General features: G+C 46.5%; 1 annotated feature.

Annotated features, from left to right (window-relative positions):
* Positions 722-1,367: an enhancer, noted in NCBI's record as "H3K27ac-H3K4me1 hESC enhancer chr20:55450301-55450946 (GRCh37/hg19 assembly coordinates)". NCBI's record gives its function as "activates a minimal SCP1, AML or CMV promoter by ChIP-STARR-seq in naive H9 embryonic stem cells {active_cell/tissue: H9 hESC(naive)}" and the evidence as "EXISTENCE:reporter gene assay evidence [ECO:0000049][PMID:30033119]".

A 10,285-nucleotide genomic window follows, 5' to 3' on the forward strand; every position in this document is an offset into this window, starting at 1 on the left:
GGCATCTCCAGGCAAACGGCGTCAATCCCTGAAGGACAATTGTCTTAGGAAGATTGCATGTGAAGCTCTTATCCACAGCCCTAGAGCTGCGGGGGATGCATGTGCCGTCTACAGAGGGACGTCTGGGCAGGGAACTTAGAGCATATGCTCTAAGAGTATTGGTGAGCGCCCTGGGGACGGGGATGAAGAGAATGCAGAGAGAGAGCCGGTGCATGCTGGCCAGACACTTGCTGGGTACTCCATGCTATTTCATTTGACCTTCACGACAGTTCAAAGGAAGCTTCTATCATTGTTATTGTTCCATTCTACAGATGTGGATATTGAGTCTTAGAAAGATAAAAGGATTTTTCTAAGGTCCCTTTCTAGAGGTTGAAAGAAGCAGAGCAGGAATTTGAACTCAGGCCGATCTGACTCTGGATCTGTTACCACTGCAGAGCTCTGCCTCCCCGATGCCAGAGAGCAGCGTGGCGGGTCTGCGCTGGGTCAGAGCAGAGCAAGGCAAGGTCTCTTAGCCCCTTGACGCTTCCATACCAGAGTTGGCCTGGCCTTTGTCTCCAGGCTCGGCACCAACCAGGAAAGCTGCTAGCAGAGCCGCTGGTCTGGCCAGAGACTCCACCCAGTTGTTGCAGACAGGGTGGGGTGTGTGGTCCAGTAGCCCAGTTCCTCTCACTGGGGATCCTCAGCTGCAGCTGCCTTACAGGTTGTGCAGTCACTTCTGACTCAGAGGCTGCCCAGCCTCCCGGTTTGCTGATTCTGCAAAATAAACAGTCCTGAGCTGCTGCTTGCTTCATTTGGAATGCCTGGTCTTCCTGGGAGTGGTAGAGGACAAGAGTACGTTTAGGACGCTGTGAGAAATTCACTGACGGAACTGGTCTCCCCCAAACTGCAAAATATGGTGCTGAGGGTGTGCTCCCAGGGAAGCTACACTAGGCAGACTCTCAAGCTAGACTGCCTGGGCTCAAATCCCAGGCCCATCTCTCAGCAGCCACATGGCCCAGGGCAAGTCACTGAGCCTCCCTGAGCCTGTGGATAATCAAAGGCACTTTCCTTGAGGAGTTTTTGCAAGAGTTAATTGAGATAATTCATGGAAGGTGCTTAGTGCTTATTAATTTTTATAATCATGATTTTAAAAAGCAATTCTCCTTGCATTTAATTCAACAAGGTTTCTGGAAGACCTTATTTTAAAGGATCTCCCAGCCTTGTGAGAGAGACAGGTCACTGGAAAATCTATGAAATTTGGCTAAGGCCAAAAGGACACCCCCTCCTTTATCAAAGTACTTTAGAGATGTTATTTCATTATGTCCTGGCCTCCATGGGTTCTGAAGAGAAGTTAGAAGTAATTAGCATGTAACGGGCTGTTTTTCCTCTGGCTGATTTTAGGATCTTCTCTTCATGTTTGACTATAGTGTGCCTAATTATTGTTGTTGTTTTCGTCCTTCTTGGGGTTCACTGATCTTCTTGAATCTGTAAATGTATGTCTTTCATCAGATTTGCAACATTTCAGATATCGTTTATGATTTTTTTTTTTTTTTTTTTTTGAGATGGAGTCTGGCTCTGTCACCCAGGCTGGAGTGAAGTGGTGTGATCTCGGCTCACTGCAACCTTTGCCTCCTGGGTTCATGCCATTCTCCTGCCTCAGCCTCCCGTGTAGCTGGAAATACAGGCGCCCGCCACCATGCCTGGCTAATTTTTTGTATTTTTTAGTAGAGACCGGGTTTCACCGTGTTAGCCAGGATGGTCTTGATCTCCTGACCTCGTGATCCGCCCACCTCGGCCTCCCAAAGTGCTGGGATTACAGAAGTGAGTCATCGCACCAGGCCATGATTTTTTTTTTTACCCTATTTTCTATGTCATCTCCTTCTAGGTCTAGAAGAGTCAGTGTTAGACCTTTCAATGTTGTCCCATAGGTTGCAGAGGCTCTAGTTCAAATTTTTCAAATCCTCTTCCCCTGTTTTCAGATTGGATAATTTCTATTTATTTATCATCAAAACAAGTGACTCTTCTGCCATTGCCAATCTTGTTGTTAAGCTCCTCCAGTGAATTTAAAAATTCAGATTTTTTTATTTCTAGAATTTCTATTTAGTTCCTTTTTTATAGTTTTTGTTTTTCTGCTGAGATTTCTTACTTGTTTATTACATGCTTACTGTCATTTATAATCCTTGAGCATACGACTGGCATAAAATCCTTGTCTGGTCTGGGCACGGTGGCTCATGCCTGTAATCCCAGCACTTTGGGAGGCCAAGGCAGGTGGATCACCTGGTCAGGAGTTCAAGACCAGCCTGGCCAACATGGTAAAACTCTATCTCTATTAAAAATACCAAAATTAGCCAGGCATGTTGGTGGGCACCTGTAATCCCAGCTACTTGGGAGGCTGAGGCAGGAGAATTGCTTGAACCCAGGAAGCAGAGGTTGCAGCAAGCTGAGGATTGCGTCATTGCACTCCAGCCTGGGCAACAGAGTGAGACTCCATCTCAAAAAAAAAAAAAAAAATCTTTGTCTGGTCATTTCAGTTCTAGGTTATTAAGAGGTTGTTTTCCATCAATTGCCTTTTTTCTTAAGCATGGGTCACATTTACCTATTTTTTTTTGAAGGCTTACTAATTTTTAGTTGCATTCTAAATATTATGAATTGTATATGTAGAGATTCCAGATGCTGTTGTGTTTCTCTGAAGAATATTTATTTATTATTTATTTTCTAAAGCATACAGTTAACTTGGCTAGACTCAAACTATAAAATTGATCCCTTCTGCAGTGGTCCATGGCTAAAATATCTGTTAAGTTCTTTTACCTTGCTGGACTTCTTGGATTCTGACTTTCAGTCTTTTCAGGGATTAGCTAGAGACCAGGTCAAATTTTAAACAAATAAGTTAGGGCTCCTTCTCTCTGCTTCTCTCTGTTTTGGAATTCCTCCTTCCTTTGAAGTAATTTGAGAATGTGATTGTCCCAAACTCCAGCCTATGGTTCTTCAACTCAGTGAAACTGTGGCTTTTTTGTCATAGCTTTAACCCTCTTGTTCTAGAAGTGGGTCTTGGGCTATGATCTATATCAAAGGCAAAAAACTACACAATGAGAAAGTCACCCTGGTTATTCCAAGTGTCAGCTGCCTTCCAGTTTCTGCCTAGTTTTGCTCACTGCCCAGTGCTCTCAGGGAATCGTTACTCATGCTTTGTCCAGCATCTGTGGTTGTCACCAGAAGCCAGAAGTCCACACCATCTCATTTCACCTCTGCATGGGATGAGCATATGGACACTCAGAGAGGTGAAGCAAAGCACCCAGTGCTTCCCAGCTGTGATGAGCTTCTTAGAAATATTTGCTGAGTGTCTACATCCTGCCAGGCACTGTGCTGGGTCCTGGCAACACAGCCATGAGCTACTTCGACAAAGTCCTTCCACCCAGGGTACTTACATACTGGTAGCAAAATTGGATGATAAGCTAGTAAACCCTCTAATAAATAGGATAACCATGGAGGATGGTAAGTAGGCCAGGATACGACTGTGAGGGAGAGGAGACAGCTTTGGTTTGGTGGTCAGGCAGGTGACATTTTAGATGAAATAAGAATGAAGTGAAGGGATGAACCTGTGGATTTCTAGGGAAAAGCTTTCCGTGCAGAACACCATCCAGAGCAAGGCTATACGAGGGACAAGTTTGGATTGCTGCATTCAAGGAAGAAGGAGGAGGTCTGTGTGGCTGCAGCCGTGTGAGCCAGGGCGAGAGGAAGGACATGGAGCAGGCAGGGACAGACGCTTTCCTCTCTGATATGGTTTGGCTGTGTCCCCACCCAAATCTCATTTTGAATTGTAGTTCCCATAATCTTCACATGTCGTGGGAGGGACCCAGTGGGAGGTAATTGAATCATGGGGGCAGGTTTTTCCTGTGCTGTTCTCGTGATAGTGAATAAGTCTCATGAGATCTGATGGTTTTATCAAGGGCAGTTCCCCTGCACACGCTCTGTTGCCTGCCACCATGTGGGACATGTCTTTGTTCCTCCTTCACCTTCCACCATGATTGTGAGGCCTCCCCAGCTATGTGGAACTGTGAATCCATTAAACCTCTTTTTCTTTGTAAATTGCTCAGTCTTGGGTGTGTCTTTATTAGCAATGTGAGAACAGGCTAAAACAACCTCCTTCCTCTACAGCTTCTCTGTGCTCCCACTCCTAGAACTTATCGCCTTCCCAGCTGCACCCAACCCCAAGGACCACTTTTGCAGCAACCAAGTGAAGATTTAGGAGCCTGGAGAATCTGATGGCTTGAATCTTTGAGCTCCTCCTCTCTTTCTAAGCCCATAGAGAAGGTTGAGAGAATTGAATGAGACAACACACGTCAGGCACTAAGAACGTATGTGTTTAAAAAGTCAGTACAACAATAGATGCTGGAGAAGATGTGGAGAAATAGGAATGCTTTTACACTGCTGGTGGGAGTGTAAATTAATTCAACCATTGTGGAAGACAGTGTGGTGATTCCTCAAGGATCTAGAACCAGAAATACCATTTGACTCAGCAATCCCACTATGGGTATATACCCAAAGGATTATAAATCATTCTACTATAAAGACACATGCACATGTATGTTTATTGCAGCACTGTTCACAATAGCAAAGAGTTGGAACCAATCCAAATGCCCATCAATGATAGACTGGATAAAGAAAATGTGGCACATATACACCATGGAATACTATGCAGCCTTAAAAAAGGATGAGTTCATGTCCTTCGCAGGGACATGGTTGAAACTGAGAAACCATCGTTCTCAGCAACCTAAAACAAGAACAGAAAACCAAACACCACATGTTCTCACTCACAAGTGGGAGTTGAACAATGAGAACACATGGACACAGGGAGGGGAACATCACACACCAGGGCCTATCAGGGAGTAGGGGGCTAGGGTTGATGGGTACAGCAAACCACCATGGCACGTGTATACCTATGTAACAAACCTGCACATTCTGCACATGTATCCAAGAACTTAGAGTATAATAATAATAATAATAATAATAAAAGAATGTATGTGCTGAATATTCCTTGGTGCACTTTACATTTGCAAGCTAATATAATCCTAGCAATAACCCTCTGGAGTGGGCATTATTATTACTGTTGTTTCATTAGCTTATTTCACAAATAAGGAAACCAAGACTCAGAGAGGCTAGGTGGCTTGTCCAGGGCCACAAAGCTAGAAAAGAACTGGGGGCCGGGCACAGTGGCTCATGCCTGTAATCCCAGGACAGTGGGAGGCCAAGGCGGGTGGATCGCTTGAGGCCTGGAGTTTGAAACCAGCCTGGTCAACGTGGCAAAACTCTGTCTCTACAAAAAATACAAAAATTAGTCAGGTATAGTGGTGCTCGTCTATAGTCCCAGCTACTCTGGAGGCTGAGGTGGGAGGATTGCTTAAGCCTGAGAGGTCCAGGCTGCAGTGAGCCGTGATTGCGCCACTGCACTCCAGGCTGGGTGACAGAGTGAGACCCTGTCTCAAACAAACAAACAAACAAACAAACAAAGATTGGGATTTGAACTCAGGCTAATTTTACCACTGTACTTTATTGGCTCTTCAATCAAGACCCAGCATATCATAAGCTAATAAGTATATTAATTCTAAGTCTGAGCTAATGTGTTTATTGCCTTAAAAATTGACATGATAGGAAGACATTCTCCTGCACTATGAAACAAAAGAGAAGGAAAAAATTTAACATGACATTTCCATTCAACTCAACACTGTGTTTATGCTGTGACTTCAAACCCCTTAAGGCATACACCCAACCCCCAGGCCCTTAGAACAGGGGGTTCAAACTAGAACCCATGAACCCAATCCGGCCTTCCTCCTGCTTTTATAAATCAGCTTTTACAGAATATGGCTATGCCTGTTTGTTTCTGGATTGCCTGTGGCCTCTGGTTGCTGCCACAATGACAGAATTGAGCAGTTGCATGGGACATATCTATACTAAAAAAATTATTTATGGCTTATCTGACATTCAGATCTAACTGGCTTCCCGTATTTTCTTTGACAACACTGCCAAGGTGTGAATTCCCAGGCAGAGAGAGGAAGAGTCCTGCAGGGACTTATGACAGCCAGACTTTTTCACGAGGGTGGGTCAGGGGACCACAGCCCAAAGAGAAGGCTTCAAATGCCCCAGATGACTTTATGGCAGGATATGCTCCCAGCACCTGAACAAAGGTGAGTCTCTATTTTCTAAGGGAGCACCCTAGAGTCTAATCTTGGAATCTAGGGTCTGCAGTTGTAACGCAGCTGGGAAATATATATACATTTTTAATTTTTTGATTGTTGTCATTTTGTTGTGTTTGTGTGGCTCACAAGCTGAAGAGGTCTGGTTTTCCCATCCAAGATCTTTTTGCAGTTGTTTTCTTCTCGAGGTCTTCCTGCCTCACCCTCTCTGGCTCTTGCTGTCTTTCTCCTTTACATTGCGTGCTCAGGGAATGGTTCAAGAGATCCAATGCCTTCTGACAGGTGACAAGACAGAGTGAACAGTGCAGTGGGTTTGGGGCCATAATCCAGGTGGCAGAAGGAGGAGCCACGAGGCTTAGAAGGAAACAAAACAGAGTCTGCTGCCGAAGAGGCCCCAAACCAAGGGAGGCCCTGGAAGGCTCAAAACTAGGAGAGGCCCAGGGAGGCCCCAAACCAGGGGAAGCCCTGGGAGGCCAAGGGAGGCCCAAAACCAGGGGTTGCAGCTCTCTTTAGATTTTTAAAATAATTATTAGGGGGCATTATTCTCAGATATGGGGCTGCATGGCTGAGTGGAACCGACACCAGCTTCTTTTTTTTTTTTTTTTTTTTTTTTTTGAGGCAGAGTCTCGCTCTGTGGCCCAGGCTGGAGTGCAGTGGCACGATCTCGGCTCACTGCAAGCTCCGCCTCCCTGGGTTCTCACCATTCTCCTGCCTCAGCCTCCCGACTAGCTGGGACTACAGGTGCCCGCCACCATGCCCGGCTAATTTTTTTGTATTTTTTGTAGAGACGGGGTTTCACCGTGTTAGCCAGGATGGTCTTGATCTCCTGATCTCGTGATCTGCCCTCCTCGGCCTCCCAAAGTGCTGGGATAACAGGCATGAGCCACCGTGCCCGGCAGACACCAGCTTCTAAATGTGCCTGAACAGGCAGGATCCAGCTCTGCCACCCACTGCTTTGGGAGCCTGGGTTTTGTCATCTGCTCCCAGGAATAATGGGCTTACCTGCCCCGGGGTTGCTGTAAGGACTCAAAGAAGTGCCTGGCTTGGAGACAGCTGGCTCAGAACTTATCATGCAGAACCCGAGGCTCAGAGGCCAGGTGACTTTCTTGAGGTCACACAGCTGATACAAAGCAGAGCTGGGACGGGGACCCAGGTGGGGCATGCACCCCAACCCCCTTGCTCACTATTCTGTTCTCATAGAAGTCTTGCTTATTTATTTAATTATTTATTTTGGCCAGGTGTGGTGGCTCACGCCTGCAATCCCAGCACTTTGGGAGGCTGAAGGAGGCGGATCACCTGAGGTCAGGAGTTTGAGACCAGCCTGGCCAACATGGTGAAACCCCATCTCTACTAAAAATATAAAAATTATCCAGGTGTGGTGGTGGACGTCTATAATCCCAGCTTCTCGGGCATGAGAATGGCTTGAACCCGGGAGGCGGAGGTTGCAGTGAGCCGAGATCGTACCACTGTACTCCAGCCTGGGTGACAGAGCGAGACTCTGTCTCAAAAAAAAAGAAAAAAGAAAAAAAAGAAATCTTGCTTATTTTTAACCTTTTAGGCTCTCCATCTGCTCTGAAATCTTCTGATCAAATCTCAGGAATCAGCACACAATTCTGTGTTTCTGCTGTTACACTGGATCTGGCTTTGGGAGGGGCTAGTTTACGGTACTTTGTCATAGGTACGGAGAGATGCACAGAGGTGCTGCGTGTAAAAGGCTGAGCACAGCCCCTTACATACAGAGGAGCCCAGAGGCTCTTAGCTGGAGTTGGGAGCACAGTGTGTCACTCTTAGCCCAGGTCTGCTTGGCACTGACCAATCTGTAATGCTCAGCTATCCTCACCACTATGTAAAGCAGTCAGCACCAGGAATGGAAACTACCTAGCAGCTCTCAGTAAATGGTAGCTTAAACATGTCCAAGATCCGAGGTCTCCCCTCTTTGTATCTGCTGCCACTTGTAAGGGGCAGGGGTGGGGCTGCTGATGCAGTACCTTCTGCCTCCCAAAAAACACAGGCACACATAACTCGGAGAAGTTCCCAGGGCCTCTTCCACCTCCTCGGCTCTCCAGGGCCTTCCCCAGAACCGGACAGCCCCTTATTTTGCAACTCAGAATAAAAGACTTTTATGAAATAAATGAGAAGGAAAGGGGATTGTTTCTTGGGTATCCCCCAGCACCCTGGAGTTGATTTTGAGCCCCATTTTTCTCCTCCAATTCTCTTCCAAACAATTTCTCTAATTCTTTTTTTTTTTTCAGATGGAGCATTGCTTTTGTTGCCCAAGGTGGAGTGCAATGGTGCAATCTCGGCTCACTGCAACTTCCGCCTCCCAGGTTCAAGCGATTCTCCTGCCTCAGACTCCCGAGTAGCTGGGATTACAGGCATGCATCACCATGCCCAGCTAATTTTTTGTATTTTTAGTAGAAACAGGTTTCACTATGTTGCCAGGCTGGTCTTGAACTCCTGACCTCAGGTGATCCGCCGCCTGGGCCTCCCAAACTGCTGGGATTAAGGCGTGAGCCACCGTGCCCGGCCAATCTCTGTAATTCTTATCTGGAGGAAAGGGGTTTGATATTCTTTGGCTGTGTCCCCACCCAAATCTTATCTTGAATTGTAGCTCCCATAATTCCCACATGTTGTGGAAAGGACCCAGTGGGAGACAATTGAATCATGGGGGCAGTTCCTCCCATTCCCCCCATACTGTCCTTGTGGTAGTGGATATGTCTCATGAGATCTGACGGTTTGATAAGGGGTTTCCCCTTTCACTTGGCTCTCATTCTCTCTTGCCTGCTGCCATGTAAGACGTGTCTTTCACCTTCCACCATGATTGTGAGGCCTACCCAGCCACATGGAACTATGAGTCCATTAAACCTCTTTTTCTTTATAAATTACCCAGTATCGAGTATGTCTATCAGCAGCGTGAAAATCGACCAATACAGGGCTCCAGGAAAACTTCTGGGGTAAAAAGCAGCAAGTTGGGATGGAAAGAGCACTTTTTTACAGGGATCTCTCCCATCAGCAGAACCCCAATGCTGTTCTGAAGTGCAGAGCCTTCTGGGTGCAAAGCTCTAGGTACTGGGACTCCACCCTTTTCAGGATCTTTTTCCCCGATGCTGCACACAGTCAGAAGTGCAAGGCAGGGACCAGGAACTTATTCAAGGTGTGACCCTCTCCCAACTTAAACACAGTTTATAAGACCCCTTGTTGGCTTCTCAGTGCTCTTCGAAGTCTTATTCTTCATCTCCTCAACACTCTGCAGCCACACTTGTTAGAGGAAAGGGGTCCCGATCCAGACCTCCAGAGAAGGTTCTTGAATCTCACGCAAGAAAGAATTCAGGGTGAGTCCATAGAGTGAAGTGAAAGCAAGTTTATTAGGGAAGTGAAGGAATAAAAGAATGGCTACTCCATAGACAGAGCAGCCCCAAAGGTCGCTAGTTGCCCATTTTTATGGTTATTTCTTGATGATATGCTAAACAAGGGGTGGGTTATTCATGCCTCCCCTTTTGAGACCATATAGGGTAACTTCCTGACATTGCCATGGCATTTGTAAACTGTCATGGTGCTGGTGGGAGTGTGGTAGTGAGGATGACCAGAGGTCACTCTTGTCACCATCTTGGTTTTGGTGGGATTTGGCCGGCTTCTTTAGTGCAGCTTGTTTTTTGTTTTTTGTTTTTGTTTTTGTTTTGTTTTTTTGAGACGGAGTCGCTCTATCGCCCAGGCTGGAGTGCAGTGGCGTGATCTCGGCTCACTGTAACCTCCACCTCCCAGGTTCAAGTGATTCTCCTGCCTCAGTCTCTCAAGTAGCTGGGATGATAGGCGTCCACCACCACGGCCGGCTAATTTTTGTATTTTCACTAGAGACAGGGTTTCACCATACTGGCGAGGCTGGTCTAGAACTCCTGACCTCATGTGATCTGCCTGCCTCGTCCTCCCAAAGTGTTGGGATTACAGGTGTGAGCCATCACACCCAGCCTGCAGCCTGTTTTGTCAGCAAGGTCTTCATGACCTGTATCTTGTGCCAACCTCCTATCTCATCCTGTGACTTAGAATGCCTTAACAGTCTGGGAATGCAGCCCAGTAGGTCTCAGCCTCATTTTACCCAGCTCCTGTTCAACACGGAG

Source organism: Homo sapiens, chromosome 20 (genome assembly GCF_000001405.40).
Source record: "Homo sapiens chromosome 20, GRCh38.p14 Primary Assembly".
Classification (NCBI taxonomy): domain Eukaryota; kingdom Metazoa; phylum Chordata; class Mammalia; order Primates; family Hominidae; genus Homo; species Homo sapiens.